At 41.1% G+C, this 16,899-nt stretch overlaps 1 protein-coding gene and 1 long non-coding RNA gene across 27 annotated transcripts in view, besides 1 other annotated feature; one reads left to right on the top strand and one right to left on the bottom strand.

Annotated features, from left to right (window-relative positions):
* Window positions 1–16,899, bottom strand: part of PTPRM (protein tyrosine phosphatase receptor type M) — an 839,541-nt gene that overhangs the window by 656,240 nt on the left and 166,402 nt on the right. For 15 of the 26 annotated variants that reach the window (XM_017025894.2, XM_017025897.2, XM_017025895.2 and 12 more), the window contains exon 1: window positions 2,122–2,283. The exons of the other annotated variants lie outside the window; for them this stretch is intronic. In XM_017025894.2, the coding sequence (XP_016881383.2) occupies window positions 2,122–2,269 (148 nt within the window). In that variant the 5' untranslated portion in view covers window positions 2,270–2,283. Of the gene's footprint in view, window positions 1–2,121; window positions 2,284–16,899 lie in introns of those variants that run through there. 26 annotated transcript variants of the gene reach the window in all.
* On the top strand, window positions 1,301–10,312 carry LOC124904242 (uncharacterized). Its single transcript, XR_007066277.1, has 2 exons — window positions 1,301–1,558; window positions 8,636–10,312. It is a non-coding gene; the product is annotated as an uncharacterized LOC124904242 (long non-coding RNA).
* Window positions 15,290–15,791: an enhancer, noted in NCBI's record as "NANOG hESC enhancer chr18:7734824-7735325 (GRCh37/hg19 assembly coordinates)". NCBI's record gives its function as "activates a minimal SCP1, AML or CMV promoter by ChIP-STARR-seq in primed H9 embryonic stem cells {active_cell/tissue: H9 hESC(primed)}" and the evidence as "EXISTENCE:reporter gene assay evidence [ECO:0000049][PMID:30033119]".

The following is a 16,899-nucleotide window of genomic DNA, read 5'->3' as shown; positions in this document are numbered from 1 at the left end:
CATGAGAGAGGTAAGAATGTCAGATTTTGGAGCGTTGGAGGGTCTTAAATATAAAACAGAAAACTTCTATTGGCTCTAATAGCCAGTAAAAAGTCATTCTGAACAGCTGAGTAAAGACTGATACGAGGAATGTTATTCTATCCGCAGCTGCACAATATTCACCAGAACAAAAAGAAAACTAGACCAGGCATAGCCAGTGAGCACACAGGTGGTTTCCAAAGTTAGGGTAAAGGGTTAATTCTACAAAGTACTTCAGAGGAATGTGAAAGATGTTATAAAACAGTCTTTAACGAGCTTGTTTTACTAAGAGGCTTAGAAATCACTTGAGTGTTCTTTTTTTTAAAACAAATGAAACAACAGAATGTAAAAGCGAAAAGAGGATATAAACTTAAATTTAGCTTATCAAAACTAAACTTAAACCATGGTATTTCCTTTTATAGTTATTAAAGCGATAACAGAGAAAAATATCCTTTAGTCACAACACTATCCTGTAATTCCTATTTTCCTAGCAAAACCTAGATATTATGTATTTGTGGATTTTTATGGAAACCCTTATCAAGTAGAATACCAGATCTTAAAACCAAAAATGAATAAGACCTTTGCTTAGGGAGTCAAAAAACCAAGTTAACCAACGTTATGTGTCATTATAATGGTAGACAGCAGGCCTCTTAAGCCATTTGCAAACACAGGCTTTTATCCCACTTGCTTAACTGAATTTTTTAAATGCTTGTCAAAGCGAAGACAGGTCTGGCCTTGGGAGGCAGATAACTCCACTTAAAAACACAATTGCTTAACTCCAGAGATTTCTGCAAAGATTTTTGGTTTTTCAAGATCCCTAACATGGAATTGAGAATATATATCTACACTTTATAAACCACAAGGCAGTAGATCCATCCATCACTGGAGTGAGTCTAGCAGCAAGCCTCATCTTTATGCCTGTGACCTGATAAGCACAAACCATACACCACCTCCTCACACTGATCGGCTCAGACAGGAGCAAATGGGGCCAGACTCTAATTACCCTTCCAGAGGGCCCCAGTCCTACAGAGGTCAGGACATGCACTTCCCACAGGGCCCCAAGGAATACTTTTAAAAACACACCCATAATCTCACTTAAAATAAAAACGTTAGTGGCTCACATCTCTGCCTATTCCAAAGTATACAAGGAAACCAGGAAGGTTCTGGATTGCAGGGAGAAAGGCAATTAATGAGTGATTACTATTTAAAGACAAAACCCCTGTCAAAACAGCTTGACCAAAAAAAAATGTGAGTTTTTTTTGTTGTTTTTTTTTTTAACTCACAACTTGCAGTAGTGCTGCCAGCAAAAATAGTGGGTGGTAATTCTGCCAGCTAAAAGGGTGCCGAAATGCAGTTGGGTGAGAAGAACAACTCTGTCCCCTCCTCCATTCCCTTTCAGCAGTGACTGAGTGGGCTACCTCCCAGGCCTGTTCCTGCAGTGCCCCTTGGTTCTTCATGAGACTATTCAGGGTGTTTTTCTGGGCAAGTAACTCCAAAGGCAAGCATGAGAGCAGCTCGAAGACTTAAGAACATGTCACAGGTAAGTGAAACTGCTCCTCAAATGCAGTTGTCTCATCATGAGAAACAGACCATTTAAATTGTAATCAAGAAATATCAATGGAGGAATTCTGAAATTATACTAGAGTTTAACATGGACAAATTGGTCTAAACTTTTTACAGAAGAAAAGTTTTCAGGACATGTAGTCAACATTGGTGGTTAATCCCACTGGGGTGGGGGAGTTCCTTAAGGGCTTCCTCCAATAATGGGAATGGAAGGCTGTGGGTTCCTAAGTCAACAACTCTGCTTCCTGTTTTTCAGATTGTTTAAAAGTGGCAAGGAGGATTTGGGGGGAGATAAAAGATTTCTATCATCATCACTAATGATGCTGGGATTTATACTTGGCTTTTGCCTCCTATATTAACTATGATCCAATTAGACAAAGAGGGCAGGAAAACTCAAATGTCAGTGGGTTAAATAAGGTATCAGAATATTTCTCACCAAAATATATTTCATGTGTGTAAGTAGCCCGGAGCTGATTTGGCAGCTCTGCTCCACAGTGTCCTTAAAGAACCCCAACCCTTCCACCCACAGTTCCACAGTACCTGTGGTACAGTCCTCATCGTCACTGTCAGGAGGGGGCTCCAGCCAGCACATCCACATCCCACGCAGAAGGACAGAGGAAGGGGAGGAAGAAGGGGGCACTCCCTCCTCACAAGGAGCTTGGCAGGTGCTGTGCAAGCACTTCCACATTTACCCCACTGTCTACAGCTGTACCGTTCAACACAGGGCTACTAGCCACATGTAACTCTTTAAACTCAAAGTGACTAAAGCTAACTAAAATTAAACATTCTTTCCTTAAAGACTCTAGCCACATTTCAAGTGTTCAGTAGCCTTGTATGACTAGTGGCTACTGTACCAGACAATTCCATCATCACAGAAAGTTCTCCTGGACAGTTCTGGTCTACAGCCCACACCTGGCCACACCTACTGCAAGAGGGACTAGGAAATATAGTCCTTGTGGTGGGGGGCCACGTACCCAAATAAAATCATACAATCCCTTCCTGTAGAAGAAGGCAGTATGTTGGGGAAGAGGGTAGTGCAGCCTCTCAAACATTTTCCTGAAATCTCAAAGGTGTCACCTCCACAGAGATAATCCTCAAATACAGGCTTTTAAACTTTTCATACATTCCTTATATAAAAATGGTCCCCTTGAAATGCCAAATGTTATGGGTCAAATTCTGTCCTCATTTCATCCCCCCAGATTCTTATGTTGTACTCCTAACCCCTCGGGACCTCAGAATCAGGTCTTATTTAAAAATAGGGTCATTGCAGACATAATTCGTTGAGATGAGGACATAATCAAGTAGGGTGGACCCTTAATCCAAAGTAACTTGTATTCTAATACAAGGTGGAGTTTAGACACAAAGATTCACACACAGGGAGAACAAGAATGCCATATGAGTAAAAAGGCAGAGGCAGGAGTGATGCACCTACAAAGCCAAGGAACAGAAAAGAGAGCCAGAAAACCACCAGGAGCCAGGACAGAGGCATGAAACAGATTCTCCCTCACAGCCCTCCAAAGGAACCAAGTCTGCCAATACCTTGATCTTGGACTTCTAGTCTCCCGAACTGTGAGACAATCAATTTCTGCTGTGGAACCCGCCCAGTCTTCCGGCCACCCTAGCACACTAATACACCACCACCTAGGATGGCTGGCATATGAAACAGGAGCTCATGGAGGCTCCCTCTCCTTTTCTGCCTCTTCATCTCTCTGTTCCAGTGTGGACAGACAAACAAGCCATGTGGTGCATCTCTAGAGTGCACCTGATTCCTACTTCAGTATCCTGGACACTGCCATGCTTTGCAGTAATGCGTATGTCTGGGAGTGGTGTTCTGACTCCTTACATGTCCCATACTGTTACATTTAAAAAACAAAAGTGAAACTTAAAAAGATCCTATGCTTGTTCTAGGATCAAAAAAGCCAGAGAAAAGCTTTGAGACTGAGATTCCAAAGATGACCAAAAATCATGGCCACAAACAACAGAAAGCAGAAGGGAAACACCCTGGGAAAAGGAGGAAAAAGCTTTCACTGAGAGTGAGAAACAGCCCTGGGAGTTCACACCGGGAGAAACCCTGGAGTAGCAGAGACCTGCTTTACCTCTGCCCTCTCCCTGGAAGGTACACGTACACTTGAAGCTGGGTCACCTTCCTCCATCCACCCTTCAGAGAGCAAGCTGGCCACAGAACCAATCGCCATCCAGCCACCACGTGGCTGGTAAAAAGAAATGTGGAAAGGAAGCGTCTTACTGTCCTACTGTCAAGACTATGATGGGGCCAGGTGCAGTGGCTCACACCTGTAATCCCAGCACTTTAGGAGGTCAAGGCAGGAAGATCACATGAGACTAGGAGTTCAAGACCAGCCTGGCCAACATAGTGAAACCCTATCTCTACTAAAAATACAAAAATTAGCCAGGCATGGTGTTGCACGCTTGTAGTCCCAGCTACTTGGGAGGCTGAGGCAGGAGAATTGCTTGAACCTGGGAGGCAGAGGTTGCAGTGAGCCAAGATCGCACCACTACACTCCGGCTTGGGCGACAGAGCGAGACTTCTTCTCAAGAAAAAAAGAAAAAAAAAAGAATTTACTAGGTTGACAAAAATTTACATATCTGAAAATATCTGAATTATATTCATGTTTTTGAAGGATATCGTCATTAGATATAGAATTCTACATTGGCAGAATTCTCCCAGGACTTCAAAAAGATCATGTCATTGTCTTCTGGATTCCATTGTTTCTGTTGAGAAATCAACTGAAAATCTTATTGTTGCTTCTTTGAAGATTACATGTCTTTTTTTTCTGGCTGTTCTAGCATTTTCTCTTTGTCTTTGGTTTTCAGCTATTTGATGATGATGTGCCTAAATATAGTGTTCTTTGTGTTTGTCTTGTAAACATTTGTAATTTTCCCAAATTTCTGCTTAATGTCTTTTATCAATTTTGGAAATTTTCAAGGATCATCTCTTCAGACATTGCCTTTATCCCCCTATTCTCTCCTCTTTTTCTGGGACTCCATTTCCATATTAGGTTATATTCACCATGTCCATTTGTCTCATAGGTTTGTTTCTGTATTTTCCATCTTTGTCTCTCTTTGACTCAGTTTGGATATTTTATTCTGTATTTTCACTACTTTTCATATGTGCCTAATCCTCGGTTTAAATCATTTTAAAATTTTAGCTATTTTACAATCTTATAATTTCCAGTAACTGATATCAAAATTCTCAGCCTTGTCTTCAATTCCTTTACCATATTAATCATGGTTACTTTAAAGCAAATGTCTCTCAATTCCTTTTTCTAGATGCCCTTATATCTGTTTCTATTATCTGTATTTTCTCTTGGTTTCTGGTCACTGATTTACCATCTCTTCTATGCCTGGCTAATGGTGATTGTCTTCTGCCAAGTACATATGCTAGGGGCACTGGCAATCCATCCCACATTGATCTAATCAGTAATTGTGATGAGTCAAGCTGGTCTACTTCCTATTCACCCTAACACCTAAGATGTGGCCTTTGGGATCCAAAAGCCTGAGGTATTTACCTCTTCCTTGGCAGGCCCTAAACTTCAATTTAGTTGCCTCTCCCAGAGCCTGTGAGTCTTCTGAGAGCTCTGCTCTTTGATGTCTACTGTCAAGTTACACCAAAGTTCAGGCTGAGAGGCTGAGACACTCAGTCTTGAGGAAAAAAGTGGCCCCAAATGCAGGAATCACTGCACTGGACCTTCTGGATCATGGAACTCCTCTTTAGAAGTCCTCTCATGACTTCAAATAGCTGGCCAGATATATGGTCCTGTTTTCTGATTGTTCTTAGCAAAAGGGTTGGCTTAAAGGGTTAGACGTATTGCCATTGACTGATGAACTGATACACTCTTATTTCCATTATCTTATTTAACCCTTGCAACAACTCTAAGAAGTACCACTTATTAAAATTATACAGCAGAGAAGATGGAATGTTTAGAGAATTTGGGTAACTTACCCAAGGTCATCAGCTAACAAAAGGCTAAGGATTTGAACCCAGTTCAATAAAAGTTAGAGGTGATTTTCTTGACCACTATTATTATTCCTTTGATTTCATCCTTTCTATAACATAAGTGATAGAAAGACTCAGAAAATGGCATGCTGGGGTTCAGGGCTAGTATTCTGACTTCAGACTCTGATCCCCTGGATGGTCTCTCAACTAGAGTTAAGAATTTAAATACACTTAGCTTTTGTTTTTTTCTTATGAGAAAATATATTTGAACTGCAAACAATACAGCCCCAGCTCAGTCAAAAATAAGATAAAAGTCGATGAACACAATTATCCTCATAGTGGCTCTGGGAAAAATATTGGGGGTGTCCAATACAGTTCTCATTTTTCAGACAAATAGACCAAGGGCCACAAAGAACCTAGCCTCTGGTTCATTTATTCACTCAATACATATGTATTTATTACCTACCATGTGCCAGGTACTAGTCTAGGCACTAGGAATATATTTTAATAAGTGAGACAACCTAAACAATAAACATAATAAGCCAATCATATAGATCTTAAATTCTATGAGAGGAAAAACAGAACCTCATAAAATGCACTGAGAGTGCTGGGTAGGTTGCAGTATTTTACTTTTATATAAGACCTTCTCAAATATAGTTGATAATTACTCTACCTTACTCCCACTCTATTCTTCATGAAGACATGCCTCTTTACAGAATAATTGAACCTTTTTTTCCACCTGCCATTTCAGTTTCCTAGATTCCACCACCTTTCAAGGCCCTAGGACAAAAACCTCAGCACTCAATATTCATTCTGAGAAACTAGCTTGCCTTTATGACTTGCAGGAAAACAAACACACTAATCATTCTTTTGTAACAGAATCCAGTTTTCTTCACACCGTGGCCTTTTTGAGCCTCAAATCTGTAGAGATATGTGGTCTAATTTTTTCAAACCTGATTTTACTTAGTTTTCACTAGACCTCTCTAAGAAGCTCTACTGAGTAATTCTTGAAAATGTATAGTCTGGTTTAGGCTTTCCCCAGTCTGTCCAAATAACATAAATCCACGTGTGATGCTTTCCCACTAATTGTGGAAAAATCTAAGTCAGAAGCCTGATTTCATGGTAATCATTTCCATTTGATGAATTTTGCAGTTATTTCGGGATACTCATGAAGCCTCTTAGAAAAGAGCACACTAAGCTCTGAATAACAGCTACTAAATAATGCAGTCCTACTTTTATGTAAACAAAAGTATTATTAATTTTAATAACTCCTATATTCTTAATCTACAGTTTAAGGAACAAGCATAGGTTTCTCTATAAACCGGCTTACTGACCAAAACATATGTAAGAAATAATTACACTACGTATAAACTCCTTTTCTGTTTTATGTCCCGAATATTCAAGAAAAATTCACTGACATTAGCCAACTACATGCTTAATCCTGCACTAATAAAGCCCTATGTCTACTTCTTAAATAAAGCAGGAGTTCCATATGTCTAATTTATTAAAATACCAGGTTTTAGCAGCTCTTTCTCTTTTTATTTTAATATCATATTATTCAAAATTTGTCATGTAATTGTCTCTACTTCCACCACTTCAGTATTTCACAATAATTGCCCAATAAACACTTAGGAACAAATTGACAACTCACTGACATTAGCTAGAATAGAAGAATTTCTCAGACTGTTGTGAAAGACTCCATTTAAAAATGCAGTGGAATAAGTATAAGAATATTAACTTTCATGTATGTAACATGATACACTGTAGCAAGCATTTTCACACACATTATTCCACGACATCCTCACAACAGTGTATTAAATTTGATAAGAAAGGCATTAATTCCCATTGTGGTAGCTGATAAAAATTAGGCAAAGAAAAGCTAAGTGACAATCAGCGGCCATACAGGCAGTAGCAAGTGGTAGAACTGGATGACTGGACTTTTTCCTTTCTATTGAGAACAACTTAAAGCTTAAGCATGGGACTTTAATGGATTCAGCCCAAGACCAGACTCCTTTAATGGTTAGGTGGCAGCCATGCATGTTTGGCCCCTCTTTCTCATCCGTCAGACAGGAATATGATTGCTTCTTTCACAGCATTGTTATGAAAATTAAATCAGATAAAGCACATGTAGCACCTAACTAATGGGTAAATAATCTATGCAAATCAATCCAATTTAATTTCCAATTTTTAAATTAAATTTTTACTTTCAAGAGAAATGATTGACAATTTTCTAAATTGAGGCTTACCACAAGCTGTCTTTGGCTATTTCTCATACTTCTGGCTGGTAGGATTCAAGTACGCTCTGGAGTCTGTGTTCAGAGCCAGAACTCTGATCTGCTATGCAGAATTACAGAATCTCCTTCAAACCAAAGGAGTTATATACTTATTTATTTTTCACTTTTTGTAGAGACTGGGGTCTCTTCCATGTTGTCCAAGCTGGTCTCGAATTCCTGAGCTCAAGTGATCCTCCCACCTCAGCCTGCCAAAGCGCTGGGATTACAAGAGTGAACCACTGTGCCCAGATAGGAGTTCCTTAAAAAGATAAAACTGCACTTCTGAAATATACATCTTTTTATCCACCCAATTTCCTGGCACTATAAATAAAAATGATTACCAGATGGCTGGCTGAATGACTGGAGGAATGGGTGGGAGGATACTTGTGAATGGATAGGAAAAATCCAGTGCATCAACTATTTTGCACAATCAGATCGAAGAAAATCCCAGGAGCCTAGTCACCATAAAAGAAAATGAACTGAAAGCCCATTTTTTGGCATCCATTCATCCAAAATTCTGTGTTGGACTACTTTTTAAAGTTATTAGAAACTGTCAACATATTTTTTAGTCACTGTAACTTAAAATAATTTGACTTTAACTGTATATAATGCCTTAAAAATAGGAAGATAAAAATTCTACATAGAATTTCTTACACTGTGCTACCATATACCACCTTTTCCCACGTAATTCCAATGTTTAAATATCTAAATATATCTATCATACACCCACATCTTGTCTTCCTTCAAACTCCAGGAAATTTCAGTGGGGAACAACATGTTAATGGCATAAGTAATTAGGTTCTAATAGATGTCATATTTTTTACAGGACTGGGAGGAATGGAAGGTGTCACATCAGAATAACAATAGCTCTTGACAAATGGATGCACAGCCATTCCCATAAACAGGAATTTCCCTGCAGGAAAACTTCCTCCCATGGGATCTTCAATTTGATGAAAGCAATTACAGGACAAAGAGGCTGATTTCCCCTGCATCTGCTGAGGTGAAGCCAGTGCTAAGGTTTCACTTATACTGAAGAAATTCTTGGTTTCCTCCAGAACAGAACACCCTGAAATATGAAGCTAATCTCATCAGAGGGACAGGCACCTTACCAAGATGAAAATTCCTTAAGATTTATTTGCCCAGCCTTAAAGCTTAGACAACTTATTAAGAGTTACAATAGTTTTGTCAAAAATGACAGCCTTCAGTGCTTCACAGAAGCCATAAAAAAAACAAAGTCCAATACCGATGTGTTTTCGTTAACTGAAAATATCAGTGACCAACAAATACAAAGTTTCATTAGAAATCATCAAGAAAAACCAGGCTTGGGAAGATAAATTCCTTGATGCCCATGTTTTAAAAATGATCCTGTCTGTGGATTAAACTGCAAGTCATTTGGGCCATTGCTCAGCCGAAAAGACAAATGTTTCAGAGTAGAAGGCCACTCTCCTCTGGCCTCAATGAAAACGCATGTCACCTTCCGGCTACAGACCCAGGTGGCCGCCTACCACCTTGCATTCTCAGGAGCAATGCCCACCTGTGCACAACACATGAAAGAACATGTTCACGGAACACCTACTGTATGGCCACCACTATGCTAAAAATTTTTCAGAAGGTTTCTCATTTTGAACTCAGAATAAAGAGTTATTTATACACATTATGACTGTTTACCCATTATAAAAATGTAGGCTCAGAAAACTTAGTACTTGCTCCAGTACACAGAGCCAAGCAGCTAAGCTCCAAGAATTTACACTACACACACACCACGGGGGAAAGAAAGCACTTTCATCTGAGGAATGTGAGCCCTTACAAACTGTGAGGCCCAGAGAAGCATTAAAATGAGAACTCAATCATGCCCTACTCCCTGCTTCAGCTATGTATTCGTCTCTCAAAGCAGCTTCCTGTTGCCAAAAGTAGCTATAAATTAATCTAATAATGCCACACTGGACACTATAACCCATACCGTATAGCTTAACCATGTATAGCCATATCACTAATCAATGTTATTTCTGTAAACCAATGAGAATTCCTGACAAACAACTTTGCATCTGCCCACTCTGTCTCCTTTTTCTGCCTTTAAAAATCCACTGTGGCCTGGCTCCACAGCTCACAACTGTAATTCCAACATTTTGGGAGGCCAAGACAGGAGGATCACTTGAGGCCAGGAGTTTGAGACTGGCCTGGGCAATATAGCAAGATTCTATCTCTACATAAATTTTTAAAAATTAGCCAGGAGCGGCGGCACATGCTTGGAGTCCCAGCTACTGGAGAGGCTGAAGCAGGAGGATCATTTCAGCCCAGGAGTTTCAGGCTGCAGTGACCTATAATCAGACCGTTGCAATCCAGCCTGTGACAGAGCGAGATCCCATCTCTAAAAATAAAATAAAATGAAATAAATCCACTTGTAACTGCTGCTATACAGAGTGTATATTCGGGGCAACTTGCATTTATGCCCCCAGGTTGCAATCCTCAAACTTGGCCCCAATAAACTCTTTACTTATGTTAATTTTGCTTCAGTTTCCTCCTTTTAGGTCAATCCCACTACTCTATACTGATTCTTCTGCAATAGAACCTACTACAATTCAGGAGGGTCACAGGCCTGCTTCAAGCTTGGAGCTGAGGGGTAGGGTGGGGTTGGCAGGACCAACCAATGCCCTCAAGCCATGGGAGCAGCCCAGTTCAGCAGAACTTCCTCTGAGGATAGAAATGTTCAGTACTGTTCCATACAGTCCCCACCAGCCACATGCAGCTAATGCCACTGAGGAACTATATTTTTTACTTAATTTTTATGAGTTTAAATTTAAACAGCACAATGTGGCTAACAGAGACTGTAATGGACATTGCAGCCTTGGAGTTTAAGTAGAGACAAAAGACATTTTTTCACGTCAATACAGGACAGGAAATACAAAGTGGTAAATACTCTAAGAGACACACAGATGGAGCCACTTTCCTTAAATGTTCAAGGAAAAGACATTACCTATAGCTGTAGAAAATCAAAGATGATGCAACCCCACCAGCATAGGTGATAGAACCAGAAGTGTTTTCTAAGCAGCAAGAGCCGCAGAAGCAAAGGCAAGGAGACTGTCTAAGCCCCAAGGAGCAGGCCCATAAGACGGTAATGAGCAGAACATGGCAATACAACGGATAAGAGACAAACTAGACAAACTAGGAAAATCCAATGACTCCCAAGGTGCCTGCTGTATCCACTCCCCATTTATCCTAAAGTTGAAGAATGGGAAAGCAAAAGGAAAATGGTTGGTGCAAAAGTAATCGCAGTTTTTGCATTGCTGAAATTTTCTGTTTGATATTGGAATACATTTTTAAACAAATGTGGTTATGTTATACATCATTTTAATGCACATTTCTCGCTTTATGTTGTCATGCTAATGACTTACTACTTGCTGTTTATTATGGAAATGATGTTAGACAGAAAGCAAATTTGAGCAATTTTCTTATTCAAGTTCAGCATAGTGGCTGGCCATCAGAAGTTGACAACAACCAACTGAAAGCAATCATCAAAGCTGATCCTCTTACAACTACATGAGAAGTTGTCAAAGAACTCAACGTCGACCACTTTACTGTGGTTTGGCATTTGAAACAAATTGGAAAGGGGAAAAAGCTCAGTAAATGGATGCCTCATGAGGTGAGCGAAAATTAGAAAAAAAAAACTGTCATTTTTGAGTGCCATCTTCTCTTATTCTGTGCAACAACGAACCACTTCTCGATCAGATTGTGATGTGCGACGAGAAAAGTGGATTTTTATATGACAATCAGCAATGACCAGCTCAGTGGCTAGACCAAGAAGAAGCTCCAAAGCACTTCCCAAAGCCAAACTTGCACCAAAAAAAAATCATGGTCACTGTCTGGCGGTGTGCTGCCAGTCTGATCCATTACAGCTTTCTGAATACTGGCAAAACCATTACATCTGAGTATGCTCAGCAAATCGATGAGATACACCAAAAACTGCAACACCTGCAGCCGGCATTGGCCAACAGAAAGGGCCCAATTCTTATCCACAATAACACCTGACTGCATGTCACACAACCAATGCTTCAAAAGTTGAACGAACTGGCCGGGCGCAGTGGCTCACACCTGTAATCCCAGCACTTTGGGAGGCCGAGGCGGGTGGATCTCGAGGTCAGGAGATCGAGACCATCCTGGCTAACACGGTGAAACCCCGTCTCTACTAAAAATACAAAAAAAAAAAAATAGCCGGGTGTGGTGGCGGGCGCCTATAGTCCCAGCTACTCGGGAGGCTGAGGCAGGAGAATGGCATGAACCCGGGAGGCGGAGCTTGCAGTGAGCTGAGATCGTGCCACTGCACTCCAGCCTGGGCAACAGAGCGAGACTCCGTCTCAAAAAAAAAAACCAAAAGTTGAATAAACTGGGCTATGAAATTTTGTCTCATCCAACATATTCACCTGACCTCTCGCCAACTGGCCTCCACTTCTTCAAGCATCTAAACAACTTTCTGCAGGGAAAACGCTTCCACAACCAGCAGAATGCAGAAAATGCTTTCCAAGAGTTCACTGAATCCCGAAGCATGGATTTTTATGCTACAGGAATAAACAAACTTACTTCTCGTTGGCAAAAATGTGTTGATTGCAATGGTTCCTATTTTGATTAATAAAGATGTATTTGAGCCTAGTTATAATGATTTAAAAATCATGGTCCAAAACTGCAATCACTTTTGCACCAACCTAATATAATCAAAAGAAAGGCAGCCTTATCAATACAAAGGAATGAATGATAAAACTCTATGTCTATGGAAAAAGATCACTCTAAGGGCAAAACATATTGATAAAGCATCTTTGAGAAGCGTGCATTAAAGATGGCAGAGTGAAATCCAAAATATTTAATGAATGTTATATTCATTAATCAAAGGGAAAGCTACAGTACCCTGAACTGGCCACACAAAGACAACACTGGGATATGCCAATGAGCAGCCAACAGCCACAGCCTGGGGAGAAGGAGCAGAGCCTATCAGAATCCAGGTTTTGGTTTTCAGCGTGTCTCATTGCCCCTATGCTGAGAATGCCAGATTCTCATCGTGACTTGGGCCCACATTGGTCCAAAGGTACAGAAGACAGGGCTAGTACAGGAAACTGCCATAGACAGGCCAGGAGACCAGGGGCTGGCACAGGCCCCAGCACTGAACACACAACATTCCCCAGGACCACTAGCACTAGGCAGTGGCTACTTACCAGCCAGTCCACAGGTATTTTAACACTTTAGTAGCCAGATGCACACTGGTTGAATACAAGCCCTGGAGTCTGTCTAATCTATGGGAACAAACTACACCTTATTACATGGAGCAGAGGAAAAACAAACAGGTAGACGGAAGATTACATACGGGTTTCAAATTCACTGGCAACATTTAAAGACAAAAAAGTTTCCGTTTAAAAATTCCAGAGTTGGCCGGGCACTGTGGCTCATGCCTGTAATCCCAGCACTTTGGGAGGCCGAGGCAGGTGGATCACGGGGTCAGGAGTTCAAGACCAGCCCAGCCAACATGGTAAAACCCCGTCACCACTAAAAACACAAAAAATTAGATGGGCGTGGTGGCGGGCACCTGTAATACCAGCTACTTGGGAGGCGGAGGTTGCAGTGGGCCAAGACTGTGCCACTGCACTCCAGCCTGGATGACAGAGTGTGACTCTGTCTCCAAAAAAATAAAAAATAAAATAAAATAAAATTCCAGAGTTGGGGCTGGGCGTGGTGGCTCACGCCTATAATCCCAGCACTTTGGGAGGCCAAGGCAGGTGGATCACCCAAGATCAGGAGTTCGAGACCAGCCTGGCAAACATGTAAAACCCCATCTCTACTAAAAATATAAAAATTAGCTGGGCACGGTGACACAAGCCTGTAATCCTGAAGGAAGAGAAAGACCTCTCATATTATTTTATATTGTTTTATACTCAGTACCTGTTTTAAGAAAAAACAACAAGGAAATAAGACCAAAGACAGGCAGCCCAGCGCCAGGCCCGAAACCAGGCCTGGCCCTGCCTGGCCTAAACCCAGTAGTTAAAAATCAACTCATAATTTAGAAAGTGATGTTATTCATAGATTCCAGACATTGTATAGAAGAACATTGTGAAACTCCCTGCCCTGTTCTGTTTTTCTCTGACCACCAGAGCATGCAGCCCCTGTCACGTACCCCTTGCTTGCTCAAATCAATCACGACCCTTTCATGTGAAATCTTTAGTGTTGTGAGCCCTTAAAAGGGACAGTAATTAAGCATTCGGGGAGCTCGGATTTTAAGGCAGTAGCTTCCTGATGCTCCCAGCTGAATAAAGCCCTTCCTTCTACAACTCGGTGTCTGAGAGGTTTTGTCCGCAGCTAGTCCTGCTACAATCCCAGCTACTTGGGAGGCTGAGGCAGGAGAATTGCTTGAGCCCAGAAGGCGGAGGTTGCAGTGAGCTGAGATCATGCCACTGCACTCCAGCCTGGGTGACAGAGCAAGACTCCATCTCAAAAAAAATTAAAATAAAAATAAATAAAATAAATTCCAGAGTTTGGCATTTATGAAAACTCAGAAGATCTGCCAAAACTAGACCTATATTCCTACCTGGAGCTAAGCAGTTGTGACCCTTCTTATGCCCAGCCACTTAGTGACTAAGGTCACTTGTCTCTCAGCCCTGAAGTCATGTGAGTGTTGACCAAAAAAAGCCAAACTCTATAAAATATTCAGAGAGATTTATTCTGAATCAAATGTGAGTACCATGACCTGTGACACAGCCTTCGGAGGTCCTGAGAACATATGCCTGAGGTAGTTAGGTTATAGCTTGGTTTTACATATTTTATGGAGACAAAGGGCATCAATCAATACTACATATTTTGGCCAGGGTGGGGTGGGGGGAGGCGGTGCTTTCAGGTCAAAGAAGGATTCAAAGATTTCCTGATTGGCAATTGGTTAAAAGAGTTCAGCTTTACCTGAAGTTGAAGTCAACAGGAAAAAAAAAAAAAATGCTTGACTTTAAGATAAGGGAAGTTGTGGAAGCCAAAGTTCTTGTTAGGTAGATTAGATGAGGACTCCCAGTAGCAGGCTTCAGAAAGAATAGATGGTAAATGCCTCTTTTAAGACCTTGAAAGGTGCCAGACTATTAGTTAATCTCTTTAGGACTGGGAAGGACTGCAAGGGGAAAGATCTAGTTATGTTAATAGACATTCTTTATAGATGAAAAGAGCCATTTCAAAATATGGCAAATTTTTTAGGTATATTTTTTAGGTATATTTAGAGACATATTTTAGGGTAAAATATTTCTATTTCCTTCTTTATCTGTCATGTGATGTTATACTAGAGTCAGGCTGGAATTTGGTACAAAGACTATGTTCTATCAGTCTTAAGATCTCTGTTTTAATGTTTGTTTGTTTGCTTGCTTGCTTTTGAGACAGAGTCTCCCTCTGTTGGCCAGGCTGGAATGCAGTGGCACAATCTCGGCTCACTGCAACTTCTTCTACCTTCCAGGTTCAAGCTGTTCTCCTGCCTCAGTCTCCCGAGTAGCTGGGATTACAGGCGCCGCCCACCACCATGCTCAACTAATTTTTGTATTTTCAGTATAGATGGGGTGTCACTATGTTGGCCAGGCCAGTGTCAAACTCCTGACCTCAAGTGATCTGCCTGCCTCAGCCTCTCAAAGTGTTGAGATTACAGGCATGAGCCATCATGCCCAGCCAGATCTCTGTTTTAATGTTAATGCTGGTCAGTTGTATCTAAACTCCAAAAGAGAGAAGGTACAATGAGGCATGCCTGGTCCCCACTTCCTTTCATGACCTGAACTAGTTTTTCAGGTTTCTTTGGAATCCCCTCGGCCATAAGGGGGATCCATTCAGTTGGTTGCAGGGCTTAGAATTTTATTTTTGGTTAACGTGTGTGTGTGTGACCCCCACCGTGGAGTTTTATCTGTCCATACTATCAAGTGGCACTGAAACTAAGAGAGGAGCTCAAGCTGTAGCAAAAATAAATACCCAGAGGAAGACAGGTAATTTTTTGTCCTAATGAATTTGAAAGCTTCATTCTTTGGAGAATTCACTTTTTCCCTATTATGCCAACGAGGCTACCATGGACTAATTTTAACTGAATTTAGCAATACCCCCTAGAACATTAATGCTAGTAGAACTTTTTCAAGGAGTAGTAAAATTCCATGCCATTTGCTCCCTTCTTTTAATTAACATAGGTAATAGATCTGTAGTCAGTTTCACTTCTTCTGAAACCATAACTGATAAATATTAAATATCAACCCTACCAGAATCCAGATTTGCCTTCCCTCTCCCAAAAATGTTTATCTGTTCAAAGAATTACATGATAGCAATTCTTCGATTTAGTACTCACAAAACTAGTAAGGACTTAATTATAACATTAAACTCTTAAGTAGACATGAAATCACAATAATATAAACAGATCCCATATTTATTAGATAAGCCAAAATCAAATTTAAAAGCTGAAATGTCACAGATTACAGGTGCCTGCCTGGCATTTGCACTGTGCCCTCATTTGCTTTCAACAGAAATAATGTACCATCATGTTCCTTCTTTTCCTGTAGATCCTCCTCCACACTCCACTGCCCCTGACACATACAGATTTGGGGTGCTTGATCTCTGTCGTCCTTTGTGGTACTCGAAATGAAGATTACTCATTTGTCCTCTGGGCCCATTGTCCTAGTGAGCTCAGAAATGGCTTCAAGATATTTAATGCAAAGCTGATGTGTGCCAGCTTTACTTTTGGATGTAGGTTTGGAATATACTGAGAGTTCTGACCCCTTCATAAGTGTGAAATGTTTAGTGTGAGGAACCTTCATCTCTATGGTAGGTAAGGTAGTCATAGAGGCAGCAGACAGCCAAATCCCCTAGGATTAGGGAAGGGTACCCGGAGAATCTCCAACCTGCCCCACAAGGGTTTACACCAGATGTTTTGTGCAGAAAAGAGAACCTGCCCAGGGGGCTTGCCTGGGCATGCCCACAGTGGACTGGAGGCCCACATGCACTGGGGGAATGGGGTGGAGCCACCAGGAATTTGTGCCTTATGCAGGGGAGGAGCCTGGCCTCTTCAACTCCTGCATGGTGGCTCTGGTATTCAGTTTGTGAGGTGGAAAC

The sequence above is a fragment of the Homo sapiens genome, chromosome 18 (genome assembly GCF_000001405.40).
Source record: "Homo sapiens chromosome 18, GRCh38.p14 Primary Assembly".
NCBI classification, from domain to species: domain Eukaryota; kingdom Metazoa; phylum Chordata; class Mammalia; order Primates; family Hominidae; genus Homo; species Homo sapiens.
The sequence above is the reverse complement of the archived record's forward strand: the minus strand, read 5'-3'. Positions and strand labels throughout refer to the sequence as shown.